Source organism: Homo sapiens, chromosome 10 (genome assembly GCF_000001405.40).
Source record: "Homo sapiens chromosome 10, GRCh38.p14 Primary Assembly".
Taxonomy (NCBI): domain Eukaryota; kingdom Metazoa; phylum Chordata; class Mammalia; order Primates; family Hominidae; genus Homo; species Homo sapiens.
In genome coordinates, this window is record NC_000010.11 from 71,634,844 (window position 1) to 71,662,199 (window position 27,356).

The 27,356-nt window shown below is 54.1% G+C and overlaps 1 protein-coding gene across 4 annotated transcripts in view, besides 7 other annotated features; it reads left to right on the forward strand.

Moving 5' to 3' along the window:
* CDH23 (cadherin related 23) overlaps window positions 1–27,356 on the forward strand; it is a 419,028-nt gene that overhangs the window by 237,924 nt on the left and 153,748 nt on the right. For 3 of the 4 annotated variants that reach the window (NM_022124.6, NM_001171930.2, NM_001171931.2), the window contains exons 12-14: window positions 9,018–9,023; window positions 10,988–11,137; window positions 11,616–11,774. In NM_022124.6, coding sequence (NP_071407.4) covers window positions 9,018–9,023; window positions 10,988–11,137; window positions 11,616–11,774 — 315 coding nt within the window. Of the gene's footprint in view, window positions 1–9,017; window positions 9,024–10,987; window positions 11,138–11,615; window positions 12,620–27,356 lie in introns of those variants that run through there. The other variant, NM_052836.4, reaches the window with a different exon arrangement.
* Window positions 3,289–3,583: an enhancer, noted in NCBI's record as "tiled region #11817; HepG2 Activating DNase unmatched - State 1:Tss". NCBI's record gives its function as "activates a minimal TATA promoter and a strong SV40 promoter by Sharpr-MPRA in HepG2 cells {active_cell/tissue: HepG2}" and the evidence as "EXISTENCE:reporter gene assay evidence [ECO:0000049][PMID:27701403]".
* Window positions 4,041–4,978: an enhancer, noted in NCBI's record as "NANOG-H3K4me1 hESC enhancer chr10:73398641-73399578 (GRCh37/hg19 assembly coordinates)". NCBI's record gives its function as "activates a minimal SCP1, AML or CMV promoter by ChIP-STARR-seq in naive H9 embryonic stem cells {active_cell/tissue: H9 hESC(naive)}" and the evidence as "EXISTENCE:reporter gene assay evidence [ECO:0000049][PMID:30033119]".
* Window positions 7,875–8,519: an enhancer, noted in NCBI's record as "NANOG-H3K4me1 hESC enhancer chr10:73402475-73403119 (GRCh37/hg19 assembly coordinates)". NCBI's record gives its function as "activates a minimal SCP1, AML or CMV promoter by ChIP-STARR-seq in naive H9 embryonic stem cells {active_cell/tissue: H9 hESC(naive)}" and the evidence as "EXISTENCE:reporter gene assay evidence [ECO:0000049][PMID:30033119]".
* Window positions 9,321–9,520: an enhancer, noted in NCBI's record as "active region_3515". NCBI's record gives its function as "activates an Ori minimal core promoter by ATAC-STARR-seq in GM12878 lymphoblastoid cells {active_cell/tissue: GM12878}" and the evidence as "EXISTENCE:reporter gene assay evidence [ECO:0000049][PMID:35858748]".
* Window positions 9,961–10,010: an enhancer, noted in NCBI's record as "active region_3516". NCBI's record gives its function as "activates an Ori minimal core promoter by ATAC-STARR-seq in GM12878 lymphoblastoid cells {active_cell/tissue: GM12878}" and the evidence as "EXISTENCE:reporter gene assay evidence [ECO:0000049][PMID:35858748]".
* Window positions 22,487–23,210: an enhancer, noted in NCBI's record as "OCT4-NANOG-H3K4me1 hESC enhancer chr10:73417087-73417810 (GRCh37/hg19 assembly coordinates)". NCBI's record gives its function as "activates a minimal SCP1, AML or CMV promoter by ChIP-STARR-seq in primed H9 embryonic stem cells {active_cell/tissue: H9 hESC(primed)}" and the evidence as "EXISTENCE:reporter gene assay evidence [ECO:0000049][PMID:30033119]".
* Window positions 23,211–23,934: an enhancer, noted in NCBI's record as "OCT4-NANOG-H3K27ac-H3K4me1 hESC enhancer chr10:73417811-73418534 (GRCh37/hg19 assembly coordinates)". NCBI's record gives its function as "activates a minimal SCP1, AML or CMV promoter by ChIP-STARR-seq in naive H9 embryonic stem cells {active_cell/tissue: H9 hESC(naive)}" and the evidence as "EXISTENCE:reporter gene assay evidence [ECO:0000049][PMID:30033119]".

Consider the following 27,356-nt stretch of genomic DNA (forward strand, 5'->3'; position numbering starts at 1 on the left):
CTTGCCCTTTGGCCATACCCATGGGCGTGATTGAGGGGAGCCTCACCCTCCTGGCTAGCCCCTCTAAGCCCACTTTGTTTCAGGAAGTACCCTCTGGGCTGACTGCTCTAGTCCCTAGAGGTCCAGGGTCTGGAATGCAGAAGAGAAAGACACAGCAAGGCTGAGCTATGAACCATGTGACATGGGCTTGGCTGGGTCCCAGGAGTTGGAAGTCTGTGCCCAGGAACAGGAGTGGGTACAGACAGGTGGTAAAGTATAACTGGGCTTTGGAAGTATAAGATTCCCATAGTGCACTGGGTCAGTGGGCTGCAGATTAGGAAAATAGAATTCAAAAGCACCTGCCCCTCATTTGCCTTAATGCAAGTACCAACGCACATTATAATTCTTTTCTCAGGAGAACGGAGGCTGGCTTCAGGGCCGACCGGAGGGAGTGGGGGAAGGTCTGCACGTGCAGGTGAGGAGGACCTGCCCACCTCGTGCCTTCATCTGTAGACAGATAATACACACATCCGCGGTGAAAATGATGGTGCTCTGGTATTCTTCCCCCAAAGTGCCAGCTGCCAATCGGATTGAATTAGATTTCACAAGGGTTTTTGAAATACATGGAATTCACCAGCAAATTACCCTTAAAGAGGGAAAATCAATCATTTGGAGCAGAGATAAGCTGAAGGCGAGGCAGCCTCGGATTGATCCCGTCTGTGCAGGCGTGTGTGGAATTCAGCAGATAACCTGCGGAGAGGAGGGAGGGGAGGCTGGCTGAGAGGTACAGGAAGGGCAGAGAGGCAGGGCAAGAGGGGGAAGGAGGGAGTTGGAGAGGGAGAGATTGGAAAGAGGAAGGTGAGAGGGCAAGAAGGGGGGAGGAAAGAGAAAGGAGAAGAGGGACAGAAGAAGGAAAGGAAGAGGAGAGAGAGAAGAGAGGCTTAGTCTGCACAGGCTGCTGTAACAAACTACCATTGACGGTTGGCTTGTAAACATAGAAACTTATTTCTCTCAGTTCTGGAGGCTGGGAAGTGCAAGATCAAGGGCCCAGTAGATGTGGTGTCTGGTGAGGGCCTGCTTCCCACTGTGTCCCCACATGGCTGGAGGGGCAAGGATTGTTCTGGGGTCCCTTTTATAAGGGCACTAATCCCTTTCATGAGGACTCTGCACTCATGACCTAATCACCTCCCAAAGGCCCTGCCCTCCTTGCGGGTTAGTATTTCAACATGAATTTTGGGGAAGGGGACACCAGCATTCTGTCTCCAGCAGATGAGAAGAAATGAGGGCGAGATAAAGAGAGAAACAAGCAAAGGAGTCACAAGAGGAGGCGAGGAGAGAGGGGAGGAGAGAGAATCAGGAGAATGGGAGAGAGAGTTTGGGCTGGAGTCATGGAAAGCAGTTGGAAGAGCACAGTGGGCCGGGTGCGGTAGCTCACACCTGTAATCCCAGCACTTTGGGAAGCCGAGGCGGGAGGATGGCTTGAGCCCAGGAGTTCAAGACCATCCTGGGCAACTTAGGGAGACCCCATCTCTGCAAAAAATAAAAAGCATTCGCTGGGCATAGTGGTGCACACATGTGGTCCCAGCTACTTGAGAGGATTGCTTGAGCCCAGGAGGTTGAGGCTGCAGTGAGCAGTGTTTGCATCAACTGCACTCCAGCCTGGGTGACAGAGTGAGACTCTGTCTCAGAGAAAAGAAAGAGCACCACATTAATGGGCATTACGGGCCTTAGAGAATCACCCCATCCAAGCTTCCCATGTGGTAGATCAGAAGCCCAGAAGGAAAACAGGGCCTTCCCCAGTTGCGTAGTAATACAGGGCAGCTCCAGAGAAAACAGACTCCTGACCTCAGGCCCATGGTACTCAAGGGCCAAGCCACAGAGGAGCTTGGGGAGGGGACATAGGTAGGAGGATGAAAGCCTGAAATGAGGGTGACGTCCTTCACCTTGATGCAGGCCCAAGAGGTGCTCCACTCCCACAGTGGAGAAACGGAGGCCTGGAGCCATGAGTGGCGGGGCAGGCCTGAAGGGCAGAGGAAAAAGAGGCAGCAGGGCAGAGCCACCCACCATGTGACATGGGCTTGCTGGGTACCAGGGGTTGAGGTGGAGTCAGAAACGGAAGCAGTGTCCTCTGCCAGGCTCCTTCCACTGCCTTCTGTATCCTGGCATCTCAGTGGGCAGAGAGACTTAGCACCCCCCTTAATGTAGGGGTTGGAGGGAGAAGCAGCTGGCTTTGAGTTGAAGGTGGAAGGAGAGGCCTACCTCCTGCCGAGGTCCCCTTTGCCATGTCTGATTGGGGTGAATTAAGTGAAAGGATGGACAAAGAAGGATAAAGAATATGTATTCGATGGGCTTTTATTTTCTACTGCTCAATGTTATGGATGAGACCAACAGAAAGTACAGCCGAGGAAGGAGGGAAACCTGCGCCCCACGCCCAGGGTGGGACTGGTGGGTCCCGTCACCCAAGCCTTTGCCCTTCTCTGCCTGCTCCTTTCATTTCTGGCCATGGTCTAGAAATCAGCTCCTTCCCAGGGATGCCTCCTCTCCTACCCCCACTACTCCTAGAACAATAATAATAGCTCTCCTCTATTGAACACTTATTCCGTCCCAGATGCTTGACCAAGATTTGGCAGCTCACCCACAGTAGCCCTATCAAATAGGCTGCATTCTTCCCATTTTACAGATGAGGAAATTGAGGCTCAAGGATATAAAATTGTGTATGCAAAAATCACACAGCTGTAAAAGGCAGTGCCTGAGCCTAGGCTCAACTCCAGAGGTTGTGGCTTCCAAGGTTCTATACCCTGGAAGCTCAGGTCATGGGGCTCTTCCCTGGCAGACCCGAGTTGGGGACAGGGTTGGTTTTGGTGAGGGCAGCACTGACTCTGGGGGCCCCACTCCGCACTCCAGATTCCCAGCCCCGATCCAGCTTGGGCTGAGGGTGTCACACCAGCCCACCAACCAGAACTCCCTGGGTGCCTCACAAGAGCCCTGGCCCTTTATCTTGCCCCAGCATCCCCCTACCCCCCGACCCCAAACATAAAGGTGGCCTTGGTCCTTGCTGTGGCTCCTGAGGCCACCCTGCCTTCACATGACCCTGGTCCTTCCTCTTCCATGAAAAGGAATTAAGACCTCCTCCAAGGGCACATTGTAGTTTACAGGGTTGGTTGACGGTCCCCTAGCATTTGAGGTACAAAGAAAAGAACACACAAGGTCCCTGCCATAGGGAATTTCCTGGCTTAGGCAAGAAAACACAATTCACATGCTTACAAAACACGGGGGAGCAGAGAAATGATACTGTTTTCATTTAATTCTGTGAGATGTGCTTACCCTCCCCACTTCACAGATGAGGAAATTGAGGCTTCAGGAGAGGAAGTGAGTTGTCTAAAGTCACACAGCTAGGAAGTGACCCAGCCTGTTCCTCAACGTTGAACTGTGCTCTCTTAACATTGCGTCACGCCCCTGGGTCACTAACCCAGGGGCCACCCTGACTGATGGCAGAGAGAGACAAACATCCCGGAGAGGCAAGCTGGTGTCACCAATAGCAGGGCAGTGCCTCAGGATGGGGAGGGCCAAAGAGCCAGAGAGACAAAGGAGGCATCTGCAGGCCTCGTTGTGCTGGAGGGAGCCTGGAGGCTGGCTCAGGCCTCCCTCCCTTTGGGGGCCCAGGCCACCTGCAGCGGAATGCGCCAGTGCTGAGAGCCCTCAGGTAATGAATGACCAAGGGAAGCCATGCTTAGAAGTCAGGCCACCCAACCCAAAGGCAGGACCTAGACTGAAATCCACCCCTCTGAGGCAGGGAAAGGTCTGCATGCAGGTGGTTAAGTAGCGGAAATATCACCCTTGACCCTCCCTCCCAAGGGAGTATTTAACGAGCTGATGTCTGTTGAGGGCCCAACATGTAAGCTCAACAAACAGCTGGACAACCACGCTGGGTCAGCACACGGAGCCGGGTCTGCTGGGACAGACTCAGGTCGGCTGGCTCTGGGAGCCTTAGAGAGACTAGGAGGGAGCAGTGGCTCATCTGACCCTTCTCAAAGCTACCCCCCACTTCCAGGAATGGGAGGCAGGGAGGGGGCAAGGTCTAGGGAAGTTGCGGGGCAGCCCTCCTGGCAGCCGGCTGATAAGGCGCTGCCCTCGTGGGGGTGGGAAAGCTGCAGCCCTAGGAGCAAAGTGCAGGAGCTACACGGGGAGGGACCGGCAGGGAGCCAGGAGGGATTTCATGTGTCCTTCCCCTCCCAAGAAATAAATAAAGCTAAGCTGTCACCTCGGCCTCCCCGCGGGCAGCTGCCAGCTCCGCAGCCTGTAGTGGCTGGGCTCTGGCTCCGGGACCCGCGGTGGGCGCTATCAGCCTTCTCATCGCCTCTCTCAGCTGGAGGAGAATTTAATCCACAGGCTCCTCTCCACACACACTAGGGCTCCTTTTGATGTTTCTGTTTATCTCCCTTCCAACAAAATCGCCCCTCTGCAGCTCCAAGAGCCCCTCCAGCCTCCTCCGCATCTCCACCCCATGAAGGCAGTCCCCCAGCCCCCTGTGGGACAAGGGCAGGGAGGAGGCCTAGCAGGAGCAGGGAGGTGGGTGTGCCCTCCACCAGTCCAGGCTTTGTGCCCTGACCTGAGCTGAGGTGCTTGTGGGCCTCCTTCTGCCACGTGTGGCACAGGGAGGGGTTCACTATGCCAGCTCCTGGCATCGCACTTGGAGCAGCGTTCTGTAGTGGGAAGGCCAGGAGAGCTGCATGGTTAAGAGCTCTGACTCCGAGGCGGGGTGGGGGCAAACTTGAGTTCCAAGCCTTCCTTGGCTGCTGTGTGGCTTGAACACTTACCCCCTCTGGCCCCAGTTTCTTTCTCCAAGAAAAGGAGTGGACTGACGCTGTCTTTGGGCCATCGTGTGGATTCTGGTTAAGGTGTGTGACGCCTGTGTCATAGCCGGGCTTCACAAATGGAAGCTGTTGTCATAAAAGGCTCAGCAGCACAGGACTGCGATCAGTAGGGGTTTTGCACCAACTTAGCAAACTGGAATATCTCTCTCTCACACACACCCCTATCCTGAGGGCTGACAGTCACAAATCCAGACCAAGCAGGAATTGGCCAGCTGGTAAAGTCCTGGAAGGAACAGGCTGAGCATTTTAGAGGACTTGGTCAGTAGGTGATCCTGAGGGTCTTAGGACATGTGTCCTGACCACTGCAGCGTCTGGCCTGCGTGAGCTTTTCCAGCCCCTGGCAGCAAATCAAGGAGAAGGGAGCAAGTCTCATTCATTTGAAACCCCAAGAATTCTCCTAAAGGGGTCAGGAAGCTGTCCCGAAGGCTTGTCCCTCTGGGTGCTCCTGCCTCACCAGGTAGTTAACCAGAAGCTACACTGAGCTCACACCATCTTCCAGGCATCTTTGAGCTCAAAATCACTGAGCTCACACCATCTTTTCAGTCCCTCACTGTTGACCTCAGCCTGCACACGATTGGTGCCGCCCCAGCCGACACATGGTTCTTCCTAAGCCTTCTCTGCTCATCCACCATACCTTACTGCTTATACCTTACAGGCCAATGCTCTTCAGTTCTGTCTTGCTTCTTCCCAGCATCACTCTATCCTGATGGTTCTCAGACATTAGTGAGCATCAGAATGCCTGAAGGGCTTGTTAAAACAGTACTGGGCCCAGTCCGGGAGCGGTGGCTCACGCCTGTAATCCCAGCACTTTGGGAGGCCGAGGCAGGCGGATCATGAGGTCAGGAAATCGAGACCAGCCTGACCACCATGGTGAAACCCCGTCTCTACTAAAAATACAAAAATTCCCCGGGCGTGGTGGCGCATGCCTGTAATCCCAGCTACTCGGGAGACTGAGGCAGGAGAATTGCTTGGACTGGGACTCGGGAGGCAGAGGTTGCAGTGAGCTGAGATCACGCCACTGCACTCCAGCCTGGGCGACCAAGCAAGACTCTGTCTGAAAAAAAAAGAAAAAGAAAAAGAAAGGAAACGGTGCTGGGCCCAATCCCCAGAGTTTCTGACTCAGAAGATCTGGGCGTGGCCCCCAATTTTGCATTTCTAACAAGCTCCAGGTGATGCTGATGCTGTGGTCCCAGGACCACACTTGGAGAACCACTGTTTTACCCTTGTAGTTCTCATCCTTGGATACACTTTGGAATGAATAACTGGAGAGCTTTATAGAATGCGGATGCCTATGCTTCCACCCCCTCCCTCAGTCTGGTCTCCATGGTCTAGGGTGCAGCATAGGCAGCACCCTATGTAAAGCTCCCCAGGTAATTTTGATATGTGGCCAGTGGAGAACTACCCCTCTTTGCCTCTCCAACTGCTCACCTTTTTCTCGACTCCTATAGGTGCCTCCAAGCTACTCTCCCTGCCGCAGTGATGTCTTCCCAACCCTGGCTATGCAGTGTGGTTCCCTGGGGAGCACGAGAGAAATGTAGCTTTTCCCAGCCCCCAGAGATGATGACACACTGGCTCTGGGCATCTGCATTTCTTTTTAGAACGCCACTGGTGATTCTGTTGTGTATCTAGGGAGAGGAGGGCAGCACCGGTGTGATTCGCACGTGGCTGCAAGGCCACCTCCCTCTCCCCTGCTGCAGAGCTCAGAGTGGCTCCGTCTCGCTCATGGAAATAATGCCATCCTCAGGATGGCATCTGCCTGGGACTCCAAGCTTCTCGACATGGACCCTTTGCAAATAATAAGTCATTGATGATTCTTCTCCACACTCCGTGCCTTTGCTTAGGACAGTGCTCCTCAAAAGGTGGCTTCAGATCAGGATCAGCGTCGCCTGGAACTTGGTTAGAAATGCAAAGTTACAGGCCTCAACCCAGGCCTACAGAATCAGGAATTCCTGGGGGAGGGAGAAGAATCGGGGAGCAATCTGCAGGTGATTCTGAGACACGCTAAGGATCTAAGGATCAAGAACTCTGTGTTTAAAGCTACTTCCTCCACCCGAAATCCCTTTTCTGCCAGTCCAAAAGAGTCCAAAAATAATACCTTCTGACCAGACACAGTGGCTCATGCCTGTAATCCCAGCATTTTGGGAGGCTAAGGAGGGTGGATCATTTGAGGTCAGGAGTTTGAGACCAGCCTGGCCAACAGGCGAAAACCCGTCTCTACCAAAAACAAAAAACAAAAACAAAATACAAAAATTAGCCGGGCATGGTGGTGTGCACCTGTAGTCCCAACTACTCGGGAGCCTGAGGTGTGAGAATCGCTTGAACCTGGGAAGTAGAGGTTGCAGTGAGCCAAGATTGTACCACTGCACTCTGGCCTGGGCAACAGAGCAAGCTTCCATCTAAATAATAATAATAATAATAATACCTTCCTTCATTCCTAACACCAGCTCAGAACTCCCCTTCTTGGGGCAACCTCCTCTGCTTGTCCTCCCCTTAGACTGGGCCCTGGAGCGCTCAGATGGTACATCTCAGTTTGTTCTGGTAACTAACATTGCTGACTGCAAGGCCAATGCATTTCACACTGTGGACTCGTGCTGCCAATGGGGAATGCCCGCATCAGACATGAGCTCCACTTCCTTGGCTGGGGCAGCAGCACAGGGTTGTGGGAAGGTGCATTGGCCCAGAAGCTGGCCCGGCCTCTTTTTTTTTTTTTTTTTTTTTTTGAGATGATGTCTCACTCTGTCGCCCAGACTGGAGTGCAATGGCATGATCTCGTCTCACTCCAACCTCCGCCTCCCGGCTTCAAGCAATTCTCCTGTCTCAGCCTCCCGAGTAGCTGGGATTACAGGCGTGCATCAACATGCCCAGCTAATTTTTTTGTATTTTTGTAAAGACGGGGTTTCACCATGTTGGCCAGGCTGGTCTCGAACTCCTGACCTCAAGTGATCCACCCACCTCCGCTTCCCGACGTGCTGGGATTACAGGCATGAGCCACCGCACCCGGCCTGGGCCCGGCCTCTTATCCCCCACTCTGCCACCAGCTCCCTATGCAACCATGGGCTGCTCAGTCAACCTCTCTGAACTCAATTCCACTGGAGGGGCTGGAGGGGCCCGTGGGAGGAGTAGCAGTAACACACAAGGAAGAGCTGCTGAAGCCCAGGCACTCCCTGAGCACCCACTGTGTGTCATGGTCTGCTGGGGAATCTTCACCACCTGAGGCATGGTCTACAGCCTCAAGGGGCTGCTGACATTCCAGAATAATCACAGAGGGAACTGTAACCCAGTGATGCAAGTGCTCTGCAGCCATTAAGGAAAACAAAGCAAATACTTGGTACTTACAAAGTGTTTAGAATAGTGCCTGACCAAGAGTAGGTGCTAGGTTGTTAGTGTCCTCGTTCGCATCATCATCTATATGCACAGTTATGGACCAATCACCAAGATGTAGTTCTAAGTGAAAAGACTGGACACAGAGCAATGTGCATAGCATGCTGTTAGTGTCACAGCAGGGTGGCATGTACCCATAATGGTCATATAGGCATGGATTTCCTGGGGAAAGAGACCCAGGAATGGGGTGTGGTGGCTGCCCTGGGAGGTTTGTCAGTACCTGGGCTCAGGGGGAGAGGGAGAGGCGTGTGTTCCCCTTACACTTTTTAACTTCTGGAAAATTTGCCATGTCTCTGCTCATCATGTCTCTGACATTTTTTATGTTAGGAAAATAAAAACATGGGGGTGTTTGGGGTTGTTTCCTGCAGGGATTTTATCCAGGCTCCAGGGATGTAGGATGTAGGGATGGCCCCTCCCATCCCAGCCTACACTGAGGCCTTCTGGGTGAGAGTGGACAGAGATCAGGGAGACAGGAGCCCTTGCCCCCCCCTCACCTCCTCACCCTTCATGCCGTTGAGCCTCTTCTGGGTCCCATGCTTGTCCCTCTTCTTCACTGTCCAGCACACATGTGTGCACACTCACACAATACGCCTCCTCCAGACCCCAGAAGCTATGGCCCATCAGAGGCTGGGGACAGCTGCTCCTCTAGGGTGTGATCCTGGGGTCCCTCCCATGACCCAGGGTCTCACTGTCTTTTCTCTCTGGTTCCTTCCTCCTCTCCATACCTCTCCGGCTCCTTCTGTCTGTCTCCATATCCTTTGACTGACCGACTCCCATTGACAGAATTTGGTAAGTGAGCCTCTGAAGGGCAGGGGTTGGGCTTGGGGAGGGCTTGTGGTGGGCACAGTGGGGAGGGGCTTTGAAAAGGGCACAGCTCAGCCCTCCCCCACCCTCTCAGGCCCCCAGCTCCTGTGGTTGAGGGACCAAAGGTTCAGGGGAAGGAGAGGAGTTGGTGTCACCTGTTCAAACTGTCACACCCCACTGGCTTCAGCTATTAGTGCCCCTTCGGGCATTTAATTGGTCCCTTCCATGTGACGGGACGCATTCCACACCAGGGAGCGCTGCAACCTCCACAGCCTGACAGGCCCAGAGGAGCCTTGCCCCCACATCCCCTGGGGAGCCACTTTGGGCTGGGGCTCTGGAGCCCCGCGGCTTGCCTGGACCCCAGAATTGGCAAGAGAGGGCTTAGGGAGCTCAGCTTCCACCTCTCCATCCAAACCTCTGTGCCAGTAACAGGGCACAGGCCTGTCTCCAGGCTTTAAGAAAAGTCTAAATGCAGCAAGTGTATTTGCCAGTTTGCTAAAATGGGAAAAACCCAAGAGACTGATGGGTAAACGTTAGCATGCATTCATTCCACAAGTGCCTTTGAGCATTTAGGGGGCAGCCCCAGGGGCCCATGAATCTTGTGAACTCTCAGGCTTCACTGGGGGTATCACTTCCTGATCATTCCCCCTCTGCCCTGAGCGGGATGGGAACCAGCCTTGCAGGGACTATCCCCTTAGACCACGGAGAGTCTTTGGGGCCAGGGTGACCTCGCAGCCACCCTCTCACCAGGAACAGGTTTCTAAGAGGAGTCCCACAACATACCCTAAGCAACCAAGATGTGAGGGTGGGCTTCCCTTGCCAGCCACTGGTTCAAGAGAAAAGGGCCCATGTGCCAAGCTGGCCACTGGGCTAGGGGTGGGCTCTGCACCATAAGCCAGAGCCTCTGCCTCTGGACTGAAAGCCAAGGTCAGTGACCTACTGGGCACCTGCAAGAGAGGTCAGAAGGAGGCTCTTACACATCACAGGCCGCCTGCCCAGTTGGAGGGGAGTCTGGGGGCGCAGGTGATCCCCTTGCCCCAAGTGCAGGCAGGAAGAGGAAGTAGAATCACTTTCTGAGCAGGCCAGACCTCAGGGAGTCAGTAAGCTGAATCTCCCACCTTCAGCCATGTCTCCTCCCCATGATCTGGAGACTTCAGTCACATCACATGCTTTCTGTGAGGAGAGTCAGGTAGCATCTGAGGGGCTCTGTGAGCCACAGCCCTGGTTAGAATAATCAGAAATGCCTGAACTTGAGTGAGGCACCCACCTCCCTGAAATGATGGGCTTGGGCCTCTGGGACACAGCAGAACCTGTGATGGGGTGGCCACCCTGTGCTCAGTCTGGGATCCTGGGCCCCCCGGGACTGGCAACAGTGTGGGATCCCTGGCCATTCACATTGCCACTCAGTCTCTGGGTTATTCCCATTTCACATGTCAGCAAACCAGTGTTCTCCCTGCTGGACACGTTCCAGAGGAGGAGGGGAAGAACAGCATCTGCATCCCTTGTGTCCTCTCCTGGCCAAGCCTGTCATGGCCGCTTAACTGCTTCTCTTCTCTCCACTCCCCTCACATCCTCTCTCCTCCTCCTTCCTCTGTCTCCCCGCTGGGTCTTGCAGCTGGCCGGTCCCTCCGCAGCTGGGGTCACTGGGACAGAGAAAGGGAGCAGGAAATGGAGAGTGAACCAAACCACCTGAAGGGGACACTGTGGGCATCCGACAGCACAAGGAAGGAAAAGAGAGCCAGAGGAGGTTTCCAGAGGGCCTAGACATGGGTGGGTCATGGAGTCTTGGAGCTGCTCTGGGAAAGCCCTGCTCTGTCCCAGCGCCTCATCCATTGCCCCAACCAAAGCAGCTCTGGGCTCACTCTCCAGGAGCCTCTGCTCCTCCATTTGGGTCTAGGCTTTGGCCACTGTGCCCTTCCTGACTGGCTTCTTCTGCACTCTTGACCCAGGGCCTGAACAGCATGTTTGAGGTGTACTTGGTGGGGAACAACTCCCACCACTTCATCATCTCCCCGACCTCCGTCCAGGGGAAGGCGGACATTCGTATTCGGGTGGCCATCCCACTGGACTACGAGACCGTGGACCGCTACGACTTTGATGTAAGGCCCCACTCACTGGCATTTTGGAGTGGGGTGGGGGGTGGATTTCAGGGGAGGCGAGGGTAGGGTAGAAGATTCCCTTAGATCCCACCTTCCACTGCTGCCCATCTTCCCTTGTGGATCTGACTCAGATAAGCCCTCCAAGAGACGGCAGGGGCCGGGCTGAGTCTCCCTTTTCCAAGGAGGAAAAGGATATGTCCAGTAATTGAGTGGAATTTTACCAGACTCCCATCAGGAGCCTCTGCAACCCATCTCCTGCCAGATCAGCCCCTGCTAGCTCCTCCTGCCCTAGCAGAATCAGCAGCCATCCCTAGAGCAATAACAGACGGGCTCGCAGTAGCACAGAGCTGGGATGGGCAGAGACTCTAACAGGTGCTCTGGGCTGGGGCCGGCAAAGGCATGGAGAGGACTTACAGGGACAAGGACTCTGGGAGGGGACATGTGGGAGCTTACCTGGGCCCCTGTTCTGCACCCCCAGCTCTTTGCCAATGAGAGTGTGCCTGACCATGTGGGCTATGCCAAGGTGAAGATCACTCTCATCAATGAAAATGACAACCGGCCCATCTTCAGCCAGCCACTGTACAACATCAGCCTGTACGAGAACGTCACCGTGGGGACCTCTGTGCTGACAGTCCTGGTGAGTCCCCGCTTCACTGCAGGGCCACTGAGCTCTCCAGGGCCGACTGTGGTGAGGCACCCAGAGGGATTTTGTCCAAGGGACCTCAGCAATCAGGGAAGGAGGCACCCCCAAATCCCTGAGCTGTGTTTGTTGGTGTATTAAATAAAGTTTTTGGACTCTTCAGGAAGGGGCTCCCTTGACCTAGGTTGCAATATGGAAAAGGAGCCAACCTGAGGGGTGACGAGACTGAGCTGAGGACACTGGTTTTCTGCCTTTCCCCGAGAGAGACTCAGTGAGGGTGGGCTGGGAGCCCTGGAAGCCCCCTCAAATGGGTGGGAAGGTGCCAGCCATCCTTGAGAAGGGCAACCCTCTCCATGTGAGCACAGGCACCAGAGAGGGGCAGGCGCCTGGAGGGTACCGGGGCACCCCCAGCTGCCCATGGCTGGACTTGCCCTTTGACAAGGGGCCCTCCCAGTGTCATTTGTATCTGTCAGTACTCTTGGTTGCAAGGGACAGAAACCCTTAAGTAGTTCAAGCAAAAAAGGATTGGCTCATGTAACTCAAAAGTATAAGTGATTTCAGGCCGGGCTCGGTGGCTCACGCCTGTCATCCAACACCTTGAGAAAGCCGAGGTGGGCGGATCACTTGAGGTCGGGAGTTTGAGACCAGCCTGGCCAACATGGCAAAACCCCGTCTCTACTAAAAATACAAAAATTAGCCGGGTGTGGTGGCACACGCCTGTAGTCCCAGCTACTAGGGAGGCTGAGGCAGGAGAATCGCTTGAACCCAGGAGGCGGAGGTTGCAGTGAGCCGAGATTGTGTCACTGCCCTCCAGCCTGGGCGACAGAGCCAGATTCTGTCTCAAAAAAAAAAAAAGTGCAAGTGATTTCAGGCACGGCTGCATCCAAGCACTCAGTTGAGCAGGGATCTGTCTTCAACACTGGGCTCTGCTTTTTTGTATTGGCAAAGAGGGGCACCAGCACCTCTAGGCTGACTTCTTACCAATTTATCACCCCTAGTGGGAAAAGTTCTTTTGCAGTAATTCCAGCAGATTCTCATCGGCCCAGTTGGTTGTGTCATCCTGGAACCAATTGTGATTCTGGTATGCCGGGGAGGGATCACACTCCCCCTAGTGGACCCAGGGGTTGGGGTCAGCCCCGCCTGAATTACACCGTCTGAGAATGGGGAAGGGGCTTCTATTCTAAGACAAGGGATTGAATGCTAAGCAGATCCAAGTGGTAGATGTGTGCTACACAAGCTCAGAGTCTTGCCCAGTCGGTGCTCAATAAATGTCACGGAGTTTAACTCATTGCTTTCTCCTCCTTGCACACCTGGGGCTCCCAGAGTCCTTGCTTCCATTTCTTGCTCCGTCCCAACTCCAAGCAGAGTGATACCAAGACCCCGCTCCGAAGTGTGTTTACTCTACAGACAGATGGTATGAAACTGCACTGAGCCCCCAGGCCCTTCCCCTCTGACAGTTATTAATATTTCAAACAGATGTTTAGCCAGTCAGGCTGTCAGACGTAAACAATAATTCTGCGGCAGCTGTTTTCTTCACCTCCCGCGTCTCTAGCCCATGACTCCTCCAGCTTTCACCAAGGTGCTCCCTGCAATAAATCACCAGGCGCTTGAGGCCCCCTGGACCTTCCTTCAGCCTCTCAGTGCCCAGCCAGAGAGCAAGTGCCAGAGGCTCTGGCCTTCTGGACCCAAAGTGTGTGTCTTTACCCACCATCCCCCTTCGAAGGACTGGGTAAAAGGCAGCCAACAGCCTATGCTTTAGAGGCCTCAGAGTGGAGGGGAGGCTCTGTCCCCTGTGGGTCTGGGACCACGTGGCAAAGAATTCTAGTGTCAGATCCAGGCTTAGTGGGTGTCAGGGGATTCCTTCCAGGTGTTCTTGCTTGGGACAGAGTTTCCTCACTTCGTAGTCCCAAGTTCCCATGGTCCTTGGAAAGGGATGGGGAAAACCTATAGAGCCGGGAGGAGATGTGAAATATGAGAAGGGGCATCCCTTGGTCGGTGGTGCCAAGGACAGCTGTGTCAGGCCCAGTCCAGTTTGGGGCTGGCGCTGGGGAGCAGGCTTTGGTGAATGTGAGCCGAGCCCCTCAGGCTAGGTTTTTATCCAGAACTGGGGCAGCTGCTGGGCCTGAGCTCAGCCTCCTCTGTGAGTCGCTAGGAACCAGCAGATCCGGCCAGCCTCCCTGGGTTCCTGGCTTCCTTCATCCAAGCCTCACCCACCCCCTTCTCAAGCTCCCAGCCCCAGGGTTTATGAAGCCATGAAAGGTGAGGGCCCATTTCATCAGGTAACAGCTCTCACAGCAGGACCGTGTGCCTAAAGGAGTTCAGGCCCTGCAGGGAGATGGTGGGGACCCCGCGTGCTGGCCTATCCATGCCACTCTTAGCGCCTTCATTTTCTCATCTGCAAAATGGGCCCCAGAGCTAGTAAGTGACTAAACTGGAATTCTGTTCCTGTAAAGGAGATATAAAAACATCCTGGGTGACCCACCCTCCCCCCTTCCTCTCCCAGTCTCCCCAGGGTGTTTCCTGGCCACACCCTCCACACCGCCCTGCCCTGCTCTTGGCCTCCTTCACCCGGCAGCTCTCTGCTCAGACCCGGGGTCAGCCCAATCTCTCCACCTCCTCTGCCACAAAAGGGGCTGAAATTATGGCTGCCTGCTCAGGGACTGTAAAATTCCTTCTCCGTGACCTTTTCTGGGATGTTATTAAAATGTTTCATGGGGAGTTGTGTCAGGAAAAAAATTATGAAGAAAAGGAAATGTTTTAATATGCAATGAAGGCAGGAGCCGAGCGTCCCCAGCTCTCATCCTGGCGTGGCCCTGCTTCAGTGGCTGGTCACCTGTCCTGGGGGAAGGTGGTCATTTAACATGGCTTGGGGAAGCTGGAATAGGAAGGGCTGTCACCACCAGTCCAGGTGTCCTAGCAGGGGTGGAAGGGCCAGACTTTCTCACCTCCCAGGTCCCTGGACCTTATGGCCCCCAGTTACAGCAAAATGAGTTTCCACTGGTGGCAGGAAAAGAGTGGGGACACCCTCATGCACACAGTCAGCGCTGGCAGAACCCACACATACAAAAAGTCCACCTTCTGTATGTATACAGGGGTTTTGCATATATGGAGTACTGTATTTTCCATCCAAATTTGGTTGAAAAAAATGTTGTATGCAAATGAACCCACACAGTTCAAACAGGTGCTGTTCAAGGGCCAACTGTATCTCTAACCTGTTAAGTAGGCGCTGTTATTCTCACTTTACAGATGAGGAAACAGATGAGGCTCAGGGAGTTAAGTAACTTGCTCAGGGCCCCAGGGCTAGTAAGTGACTAAACTGGATTCACACAGCGACTCCATATCCCAAGCCACAGGCTCTTAACCACGAGGCCACCCATCCAGAAGGTTCTATGTGGGACCACTGAGCCTAGTCCTTTCAGCAACCTTCAGAGCTGAGGGTAAAGAGAGGAGCCGGAAAGTGCTCTCTGCGGTATCCACAGGGACAGGTCCCAGGGTCGCTCCAGGTGGTGTGTTCTTAGGTGGCGCTCAAGACTTTTAGGGCCTGTGGCACCACCAGGTGAATTTTCACATCTCTGAGCCCTAAGCTGCTCCAGGGACAGAGCTGTGTGAGTGTTTTCACTGATGGAGAAACCATTTCAGAGATATTCGAGCACTTTGCTCAGGGAAGCAGGAATACCAAGGCAGCCCAGAGCTGTCTCTGTGAGGAAAGGTCCCCTGGAAGGAGGGAGGGTTCAGGATGAATGTGCTCTGAAGGGTGATCACACAGAGGAAGGATGTGCGGGGGTGCATATGTGTATATGTGCGCAGGCATGTGAGGTATGCTTGTGGGATGTGTATGGGGGTGTGTGTAGGCAGGCATGTTTTTTTGTGCCTGTGCATGTACATGTGTTTGCAGCTATGTATACTCAGAGGTATGTGTATGTAATATACATGTGTGTGTGCATGTGTGCCTGTGCACGTACATGTTACGACTACATGCATTTGGGGATGTGCGTACACTATATGCACAAGTCTCATGTGCACACGTGTGTGTACATGTATGTGCCTGTACCGATGCATGGATGATGCTGGTGGCTCCCCATCCTCTAGGCTGTGTGGTTTATTCCCTCTCATATCCCAGGCTGCTCTGTGATTCACACCTTCCAGTCCTGCCTCCTGACCTGGCAATTGAAATCAGATGAGAAGGCCAGGGAGTGTCTTATCCTGGGACCCTGCTAGGCTTGGGGCAGCCCTGCAGCCTGGCCAGTGTCTGGGGCCTGGCAGGGTTTGTGGGCACCACTGGACAGTACAAGAAGTACAAGAGTAACCTAATCATTTATTCATTCATTCATTGATTCAACAAACGTTTGGTGAATACCTGCTGTGTGCTAGGCACATGGCCCTGAGGACACATGGTGATGTGAGTCTTGTACTTATAAAGTTTATAGTCTTCCAGGAAAACTGGACTAACTACGAAATGAATCTTCACACTGAGTATTACTTGCTGTGATGGAGAGATCAGGGAGTACGCGAACCTCTAATAGGGTACCTGACCTTGCCTGGGGTCCAGGAAAGCTTCCCTGAGGAAGTGGCATTTGAGTAAGCATTAACTGGTGAAGGCAGACAGGGAATAACATTGGAGAAAAGAGGCTGGGAGCAGTGGCTCATGCCTGGAATCCCAACACTTTGGGAGGCCAAGGCAACTGGATCACTTGCGCCTAGGAGTTCAAGATCAGCCTGGGCAACATGGCAAAACCCTGTCTCTGCAAAAAAAAAAAAAAAAAAATGCCAGCTGTGGTGGCATACACCTTTAGTTCCAGCTACTGTAGAGGCTGAGGTGAGAATGTCACTTGAGCCCAGGAAGTTGAGACTTCAGTGAGCCGTGATCCACTGCACTCCAGTGAGCCGTGAGCCACTGCACTCCAGCCTGTGCAACAGAGTGAGACCCTATCTCAAAAAAAAAAAAAACCACTGGAGGAGAGAACAGCATGTGCAAAGGCCCCGTGGCTGGAGTACAGTGAGGACGTGTGTGATGTGTGGGGAAGTGGGGTCCTGCTCCTTTGAAGCACAAGAGGCTTGGCTGTTTCTCTTCTTCCCAAATTGATACTCCCCACAATATGCCCTTTGGGATGCTGTTCTGATAGTGGGGAAGGCCTATATCAAACCATCCATACCCCCTTGCCTGTTCCATCCTTGTGACGGTGGCAGGCGTTTGGGAAACAGTTGGCAGAGGTGGTACCTAGGATGTGTGAGGAGCCAGCTTGGCCTCTTGCAGCATGGGGCACGTGTCCCTCTATTTATTAGCTCCATGTCCTCTGGGCAGTGGGAGAGGCGAAGTGCTGAGGAAGGGTGGCAGCCCCCCTGGCGCAGGGCTTACTGAGCTCCAAGGCCTTCTATCCCTGCTGCAGGGGGTGGGGCATGGCAGAAATGGGCAGAAGATGGACTTCAGACAAGACAGGCTTCTTCCCCAGTCGGAGGAAGCCAAGAAAGGAGAGGCCCTGAAAAGTCCTGACTGGGCAGGTGTGGGGCCCCAGGACCAGCTTGTGGTTTGCTGAGCCGTGGGTAGAGCTCCACCTCTCAGCTCCAGACAGACAGGGCTGGCTGGAGGTGGCCTAAAAGCCTGCTCCTCTCTCATCTCCCTGCCCCCTCTTCCCAGCCTGTCCTTGGGAGGCTGGCAGCATCTTGGGCAGGGCCACAAGACATCCAGGGAGTCCCTGCAATCCTGTCTTACTATGAGCTGGTCACTCCTTCTCTGGGACTTGGCTTTTTTCCTATGAAATGGGAAAGTAGTGCCTGCGCAGCCTGCAGTGCTGGGTTGTTGGGAGACCCATTGCAGTGATGTGGTGTAAACAGGTAAGATTTACAGATGGCAGGAGTGGGTATTTTCATCACTGGCCTTCAGGGTCTCACCTGGCTGCCCACCAGCCCTTCGGCCTGTGGACAAGCCCAGCTCTGCCGCAGTGGACCCTGGACAAGACACCGGGCCTCAGTTTCCTCTTCTGTGAGCTGGGGGAGATAACCTGCTAGGAGCCTACCTTGGAGGATTGTTGTGAGAATCAAATGAAATGATTCATGAAGACACAGCACAGAGGCTGGCTAGGAACACACGCTGGAAATGTCAGCAAGTCATGCCTGGCCTCCTGGCTGAGCCTCCAGGGAGCACGGGCCCTGGGCAAGGACACCACCCTCAGAGCTGTGGCCCTGCCTCAGGCAGCCATGTGACCTTGGCCAGTCACTGAACCTCTGGGTCCCAGTGAGATGACTGGGCCAGGGGCTGGTTCAGGGCCTTCTGGGTTGGTGAGGCTTTAATTCCAATTTGCACTGTCCAAGGAGAAAGGGGAGCCATTCTTGCTGTTTAGTTTCATGCCCAGCAACATGAACGTGCCACCCACCCTGCAAGGGTCCCCACCCACCCACTGGCCTCTAGAGCCCGTCTCCTGCCCTACCCCTCCTCTCTCAGCTCCCATCTGGAAGTCTCAGGAAGATTCCCCAGGACTTCACTTCCCCCTCCTAGAGCTAACTGGCTTTTCCTCCTGGTCCAGCCCAGCCTCCCTCTCCTGCCACATCAGCAGACAGCCCTGCTGCATCAATGTCAGCCCCATTGCTGTTTGTCCCCATCTCTCCTTCCCCTCCCACCCACAGCATTGACCCCACAAGGAAAAGGTGGGTATGATGTCATTGCCCTGGGCTGGCCGTGTTGAAGGCAAGCTTCAATCCTGGAGGACTTCAAATGCAGCAGGCCTGTTCCACCAGCTGTAAGGCCACAGGGCCTCTCCCTCTGCTCTGTAACTGTCAGGACACCCCCAGCCTTCAGGCTCAGAGATCACCCCTGTCCCTCCATGCTGCTGAATCCAAGAACTCTAACATGGGTTCTACTCAAGGTGCTGGAAACCTAATAGCCCAGCCAGATGATCCAGGAAAGCCAGTTCACTGCCTGTCTTAGTCTTGGTGCTCCCTGGGGCAAACCCCAGTTCCTCCCTGGTCCCTCTGCCCCCAGCAGAAGGACATGTTGCTCTGCAACATCTGTGGAAGCCTCTCAGCTGTATCTATCTACTACTGCAGGAGGGAACCTTGCTATAGGAGCAAGGCTTTGGAACCAGAAACCCAGCTTCAAATTCTGGCTCTGCTGCCTGCTGTCTCTATGGCCCTGGGCAGGTGCTTAGCTGTGTCCTGACCCTCAGTCTCCAGAGTGTGCTGTAGAGAGAATAATAATAATACTTATCCCACAATGAAGAGAGACGGGGCATTTAAAGCACTTTGTGTATTAGAAGGCACTGGGTAAATGGCAGGTGTCTTATCTGGGAGTCGGTGGAACTTCAGAGAGCATTGGTATTTAAGCTTGGGTCTCTTGGTTCCTAGATTTTCTGCCTTTGGCTGTGACTTCCCTAGACTCTGGGTCCTCTCAGTTGGTGCGTTGGTTGAGTTTTTGTCTGTGCTCAACCCCGGGAAGCCAACACACTGAGTCTAGCCTCAAGGAACAGAACACAGAGAAAGGTTAAACAAGCTTGCAGGTGAGAACCAAGCCTCTTCGGAGGGACGCAGACGATAGTTGCTGCCAGGTGTGCGACCTGTGCGGTGGTCTGGGGACATGGACTCGGAAGGGCCCCAAACTTGGTGGAATGCTCTGCTGTCACCATCTTGAAATTCTGATAATTTCTGAACAGAGGCCCTGCGTGCTCATGTTACTCTGGGCCCTGCAGCTTACGTGGCTTGCCCTGGCACAGGAGTTTATCATTCTCTGCCCAAATAAACTCAGTGGCTCTCCACGGTTTTCATCGATCCCTACATTCAGTCAACAGTCAGCAAAGGCTGAAGTGCTGGGGCCTTCTGTTCCCACAGAGCTTGCTTCAGTTCTTATTGCCGCATAAGAAACCACCCAAACTTAGTGGCATAAAGCAATAGCTGTTTTTAATACAAATGGCTCATGGATTTGGTGGGTCAGGAATACAGAAAGGGTGCGGTAGGGAGGCCTTCTCTTTCCTTGGGATCTGAGGTGACTCGACCAGCTGGAGTCTGGAAACAGAGGGCCCGGAGGATCCATTCTGATGGTGTTCTCACCCTGCCACGACTGTGCCCTTGGCTCATTTGGCTGAAGGGTGAGTGCAGCCGGACTGTGGCCCAAGCACCCACATGTAGCCTCCCCACGTGTCCGGACATCTCCCAGCATGGGAGTTCTGAGCAGGCGCACCCCCAGGGAGGCCTCTGGGGGAGGAGTGTCCCAAGAGATCCAGACAGAAGCTGCGTGGCGTTTTTCAACCCAGCCTCCAAGTCACACTGCATCATTTCTGCTGAATTCTGTTGGTTTTAAGTCACCAGGGCAAGTCCAGATTCAAGGAGAGAGGACGTAGATCTCCCCAGCTGTCAATGGAGAGAACGTCCAAGAATTTACACACACGTAAATGTCATAGAAACACTCAGAGGTCACTTTTCCATACCACTTCTGAGCAGTCATGCATGAGCACAGTGCCATGATGCCACAATTTCCCTCACCTCCTCCTGGAGGGCACAAAAGGAAGCAGGAGAGCAGAAGGGAAACCTGCAAATCCCCTTTCCAGCCTGGGACGAGCTCTCCGTGACTGGGAAGTGAAAAGACAGTGATCCCTGCTGTCCCAGGCACTCCCTGGCCAGTGGAATTCAAGCCTTCTAGACCTGGGTTGGCCTCTGCAGCCTGGCCTTGAGCTGCTATTCCAGCCCTTGCCCCCATACCCCTCACACCCTTCTCTCCTGCCCACTCAGATCCTCAACACCCCTCAACCCTCAGCATTTTCTTGCCACGGCGTCTTTACTTGCTACTCACCTGCCTCTCCCTCCTTCCTATTGGAGACCATCAAAATCTGCTGAACCTCAGGGCCAGCCTCCTTGGCAGCACCGCCTTAAAAAGCCCACTTTTCCTGGTAACTGGCATGTGTCACCTCTCGAGTTCCTCTGCCTCTTCTCTGGGGCCCCAGCATGCTGTGTGCCTTGCTGTCTGTGGCTGTTCCCACCCCTGTATGAGGGCTCGCTGGCAAGTGTTCCTTCCCCACGCCACTGAAAACCTTCCCCAAGCAGGTTCTCTCTGTCTCAGGGGCCCCACCCATGGTGTATGCAACACAAAGTAGGCTGGACTCCTACTTTGGTGTCTGGGGTGGTCTGGGGTATCTAGGACAGTTGCTGGAGGAAGGAATGTGGGCAGGAGAAGGTTAGCAGAGGCCTCATGGGGACACATGAGGCACAGAGATGGTAAATTACATACACAAGGCCACCCAGCCCATCGGCAACGGAGATGTTTGTCCAAGCCTGAAGCCTCATAACCCCACATTTCACTCTCTGTGCCAGGCTCCCCCAACATCCCCTCGGGTGACAAGCATATGCAGAAGACTGCTGGCCAGAGAACCCCAAGGCCTGGCTTCCAGGCCACTGAGTTGCTGTGTGACCCTGTCCCATTCTCATACTCTCTCCAGACCTTAGTTTCCTGCTCAGTCCAAGGAGAAGATGGGCTGGAGGCCTTCTGAATGCCCTTCATAGATCAGGCATCCCTGGGGATGCAGACCGCAGCCCCAGGACCAAGGCCAAGGGTAGGGAGGTGTAATGGCCACCAGCTTCCAGGATCGCCTGGGCCTCCTAGTCCTAATCAGGGCATACGAGTCCAAGGTCAACGCTGAAATCTGCCCTGCCTCTCAGTCTGGCCCTGTAGACAGGTGGGCGGGAGCTGACCCTGCTTCCCTGGCTACTTCTGGGCAGGGCCAGGTGCCCTGGGCCTTCCTGGCCCTCTGGGAGCCCCTGTGTCTCCCTGGATCGTCTGCTCTCCTCCTTCCCCTCCCAGAGCAGAACTCTGCACTCTCTGGCACAAAGGGTGCCCTCCAGATGCAAATCCAGCGACTATTTAAGGCCTGGAATGACAGTGGTGAGCCAGACAACTTCCCTGTCTGTTCCAGGGGCAGGAGGCAGATGATGAACAAGGAATTTCAGAGCCCATGGGATGGGGATGAGTGATGTGGGGAAATACGACTGGGCAGGGGCGGGGAGTGCCAGGGCTGGGGTTGCTACTGCATCGTTATATCAAGTGGTGCAGGAGGACAGGCCTCTCCTGGAAAGTGACATGAAACAACCTGGAAGGAAGCCAGCTGGGATCCAGGTTGAAAATGCAGGAAAGAGTAGCCCAGGTGAGGGATGCAGGTGAAAGACCCTGAGCAACAGCCTGGCTGTGGTGGATGCACAGAGAGCAGGAGGGGCATGGAGGCCGGGAGGTGATGAGGCCTGGGAGCCCATCGTGGGTAGCAAGTCTAGGAGAGCCCTGAGGATGGATCTCCTCGATGCTCCTCAGTGGAGAATAGGCGGGGGGTAGGGGATGGAGGGGACCAGGGTGGAAGCTGGAGACCTGCCCTGAGGCTACTGCAAGAAGCAGGGAAGGATGAGTATCCAACCACGCAGGTGGGGACAGTGGAAGTCCAGATCCCTCCTGCTGCTTCACCCTCCTCTCCCCACCCTTGCTGGAGTTGCTTCACTCTTCTCCTTCCCAGGCCAGCAAGGTGCATGCGTCTCCATCTCCGCCTGACTGACCAGGTGGGCCCTGCACCATCCCGAATGTCAAGTGGAAAGGGCTGCAAGTAGGCCCTAGGCGGGGTTGGGGTCCTGCCTCGGCTTCCTGCCTGCAGGTTGGCCTTGAGCCGGTGACTGAAGGGCTCTGGGTTTCCATTTTCTCAACTATAAAATGGGAAGAGTAATTCCTATCTCAGCAATGCTATGAAATAATGTATGGCCAGGTCATAGGCCAGGGCCTGCCTACAGCAAGTGCTCCAAAAGCGTACCAATGCCTGCTGTGTCAGACCTCCAGGGTTCTCCATGGTTTTCTAGAATAGTCGTCTCTCCCTGCTTCTGATAGCATCCATTCGACTTGATTCTACCATTGTATAAAGCTGATGACAAAACTTGCCAACGTGAATTATTAGTAAGCCTGGGAGATGATAACAGGGCCCAAGAGGTAGGCCCGGTCCACAGGCTTTAGCAAAACCAAGAGGACAAGCCGGTCAGAGCAGGGTAGACAGCCCTTGCGCCTCTGCCCAAGAATCATCAGAAGCTGGACTTCCAGAGCCTGCTCAGCTCTTCCAGCGCATTCCCCAGCACCCCCCTGCCAGGTATCCTCCCTCCCCACCCCCTCCTGACACCCCCACCATTGGCATCTTAATTGATCTCATTGTTCTCAAACCCTTGAGACCTGAGACTCCAGCTGTGCTTAAACAGAACAAAATCTCTTCCAATTTCCCCACCGTTTAAAAGAAAATTGAATTCTTTATCTGCAGCCTGGGGAGGGGAAGAGGGAGGCTAAATAGAGAGGGACACATACACACACACACACAGACACACAGAAAATAGTAGGTCATTCCAGCCCTGCCCCCAGGCTGGCCTGGAAGGCCTCTGTGGACACACTCGCTCCCATTTGGGGGTGTCTACGGATGTACTTCTGGGCCCCTTTAATGGGCTCTTCTGTTCATCTCCCTCAGAGGGGCTGGGGTGGGAGCTGGAGGAGGCTGAGCTGGCTGTCAGTGATTGACGGGTCCGGAGTTCCTCTGTCAGGCCTCAGCGCCCCTCGCCTGTGTTTATCTCTTTAATCTAAATATCTGTCTTTGAAACCTAAATGGCGTGGAGTGAGAGGTAGGACCGGGGTAGAGAGAGAGAAAGAGGAAGAGAGAGGGAGGGAGGAGAGAGCGAGAGATGGAGAGAGAGAGAGAGAGAGAACATAGCAGGCTGTCGCCTTTCTTCCACTGCGGCTGGGGTGCCCCCGCCTCTGCCTCGGAAGTGAATTGTCCTGGACCTTGTGTGAGGTCTGATGGTTTTCAGCTGATTGGTCATTCAACAAATTGATTTTTGGCAAATTGATTTAAGGCCTCACTGCCTGTCCCGCCTTTGAAGCACTCCACAGCCTCTGTCACCAGCACTTCCAGAATCTACCATCCTTGACCGAGCAGCTCTGTCTGCGGCTAATCTTTGCCCCTTTGCCAAAACAAGAGGATACTGCGTTCATCCCAGGCCTGGTGAAGCAGTGGTGTGAGCTTAGTGAATGCCAGGCATTTTACAGGGCGTTCCCTGTCTCTTCTGTACCCATTGTGTAGAAGAAGCTGGGGCCCGGAGAGGTGAGCGGCGTGTCCCAGGCCAGCCAGTTAGTGACCAGCCATGCCGGGATTCAGACCCCAGACGGTCTGACCCCAAAGCCCCTGGCTTCCCCTCCATTCTGCCAGTCACCCTCAGGGCTCACCTCCCAAGCTGGGCTCCAGCCTTTTGGAGTCAGCTGTCTCCAAAGTCCAGGGAAAGTGGGCTTGCAAGGTGGAAGCAGCTCACTCCCTGGGTGACCTTGAGCAGGTCCATGGCTGAAGGGGCCTCAGCGTCCTCATCTGGAAAATGAAAGGGTTCTGCTGGACACTCTCTAAGGCCCCCTGTGCCAACAACACCTGAGTGTTCCTGTAGACAGTCACCTCCAGCACAGAGAGCCCGTGACACCCTGTGCTCTGCTCCTGTCAGAAGTCACCCTTCAGTAGGTTCGCTGCTGATTGTTCCTGCTCAGACAATCACTCAGAGAACACCAGAGCGAAGACAATGGACCCCCTGGGCCAGGGGACAATGGGCAGCTGTACAAGTGGCCAGCGCCAGAATGAGTTTGTAAATGCTGCAGACCAAATGCCTGTTCAGAGTCCACCAGTGCCATGAGCTAGGAAGGTTATGAGCCCTGGAACTCAGGTGACAGGGGAGAGAGGGGAGAGAGTGACAGAAGCAGCCACTGGGAACTAGGCCTGAGAGTTTGTCCAGGGAACATTTGGGAGAAAGCCTAGAGCAGCAGGTGGGTAGGGGACCCACAGAGGTTTAGGGAGAGGTTGAGCTGGCTCTGTGGGTTTGGGGTGGCTTAATCTCACTCTGTAATCTCTGTACAGGGGATAGTAGCTGTGGTTCCTACCAGCTTGTTTCTGGAGTGGCTCAAAGTTCCATATGCCTGTCATAAAAACGACATTTAACTTCATGACCCAGGACACATACTCACACGGACACTTATCTCCAGCAAAGCAGTACTTCCTGAACACATGTAATAATACACTCTAGTGTTTTCTGATTTAATTCTGCTAGATTTCATTTTCTAAGTGCTAACCATGAACGACTAGATTGATTTCATGACCAACTAATGGATAGATGTTCAACCAAACTAAGTTTGAACCTCTCTAGAAGGAGCCTTCTCTGCTTCACCATCTGATGAGGAGGAGGAAGGTAGTATCAACTTGTATTTCTCTAGTGTTCACTACAGGGAGCAAAGGGATAAAGACCGCGTCCTCCAGACTTAGATCACCCAGGTTTACCCTGACTCAGCTGTTTCTTTTCTTTTCTTTTCTTTCTTTCCGTTTTTTTTTTTTTTTTTTTTAGACGGAGCCTCGCTCCCTTGCCAGGCTGGAGTACCATAGTGCGATCTTGGCTCACTGCAACTTTTGACTCCCTGGTTCAAACGATTCTCCTGCCTCAACCTCCTGAGTAGCCGGGATTACAGGCGCGTGCCACCACACCCAGCTAATTTTTGTATTTTTAGTAGAGATGGGGTTTCACCATGTTGGCCAGGATGGTCTCGATCTCCTGACCTCGTGATCCACCCCGCTCGGCCTCCCAAAGTGAGTGAGCCACCGCGCCCGGCCTGACTCAGCCATTTCTGAGCTATGATTTTGAATAGGTTACTTGTATCAACAATGAGCCAGTACAGCCACCAGCAACAGAGACCCCAAAAACAGTTGTTTAAATACGATCAAGGTGTATTTTTCTCCCATGTAAAAGCAGTATACAGATGACCAGCCTTGGGCGGCTCCTTCCAGCTCTCTTCTCCACCACCCCTAGGGTGTGTCCCTCATCTTCATGGTCCCAGGTGGTTGCCAGAACTCCAGCCATCACATCCGTCTCTCAAGCTACAGGATGGAGGAAATGAAAAAGGGAACCTCCCCTCCCTTTTAAGGATACCTCCTGGAAGTGCTTTGCAAACTTCTGCTTTCATCTCACTTCACTGGTCAAAATTTCGTCTCACATGGCTGTGCTTAGCTGCAAAGGAGGCTGGGAAATTTAGCATTTTTAGCCAGGTAGCATTGTGTCCACCTTAAAAAAAAAAAATCAGTTTCTGTTAATTTGTGAAAGTTAGGGAAGGCATGGCTGTTTAGTCTCTGCCAGATCACCTCTGTGTGCCTCCATTTCCTCTTTTGGAAGTGTGGGTGGTGATAGTTCATTGTAGAATTATGTGGGCTTCAGTGAAATCATACATGTAAAGTGCTTAGCCCAATGCCTGACACAGACCAGGTGCTAATCAAATGATAGGTACTAATATTGAGGACCTGGTGCCAAGCTGCGCTCCTGTCACGTGTGTTATCGAAGCCTCATGACAACCTGGTGAGGCTGAAATTATCCTCCCCATTTTGTAGATGAGAGCACTGAGTTTCAGAGAAGGTAGCTCTGTGTCAGACCACACTCCCATGAAAGGGGCATAACGGAGGCACGAACCTCCTTGTCTGCAAGATGCCAAAATTCTTTCCCTTAACCATGGGGCAGTGCAGCCCCCTCATGGAGACTGAACTGCTCCCCGAGAGCCTGGCGAATCTGTAGGGCTGAGATGTGACGAGACAGAAACTGAACTTGATTAGCCAACATACAAGCTGACCCAGGCCCAGCGCTCCCTCTGCCGGCCCAGCCTCCTGCAGGAGAAACCCACCCACCCACCTAAAAAGGGAACAAAGCCAGGACAAAAGAGCCCTTTAGGCTTCCACTGTATCGCCACCTACAAACTGGTAGTCAGAAGATTCAGGTGTTTGACTCACTGAATGACCCTGGACCAGCCCCTTTTCTCTGAACACCTCCGTTTCTCCATCTGCAAAATGGGGAGGATGTTACTGTGCCCTCTCTACCTTCTGGGGACGTTTTTAAAACAGTGAGGCCAGAGTGTTTTGGATTCCTTGGGAAGCAAATAAATGAGATAGGCGGCTCTTCTCTCAGTGGGTTTCTCCAGCCTGCCTTAGGACATTCTGATAACTGGGGTGGGGTGGGCAGAGGAGTCAGGAAACCTAAATGTCAGGGGACTGGGAGTGAGGGCTGCTTCTTGGCATGGGTGCTCCTAGCGTACCCCTCCCACCCTGCGCGCCCTCCCACCCTGCGCGCCCTCCCACCCTGCGCGCCCCCTCCCACCCTGCGCCCCCTCCCACCCTGCGCGCCCCCTCCCACCCTGCACGCCCCCTCCCACCCTGCGCCCCCTCCCACCCTGCACGTCCCCTCCCACCCTGCACGTCCCCTCCCACCCAGCGCGCCCCCTCCCACCCAGCGCGCCCCCTTCCACCCTGCGCGCCTCCTCACACCCTGCGCGCACACACACAGAACCCAGCTGCACCATCCCTGCACCATCACGGTGCAGCCCTGGGCTGCGTGGGCCCAGGTGAGTGAGGGGCTGGGCCCGCAGCCTCTGCTGGTCTCACAGATCATGGGTGATTTATATTTCCCGCGTGGGACTTTGACCTTAATTTCTTCCGGCAGCCTGGGGCTGTAAAATTCATCAGGGACCTGCGGGCGGAGTGACGGAGATGTCAGGCGAGCAATCGTGTGGGTATTTAATCTATCAGA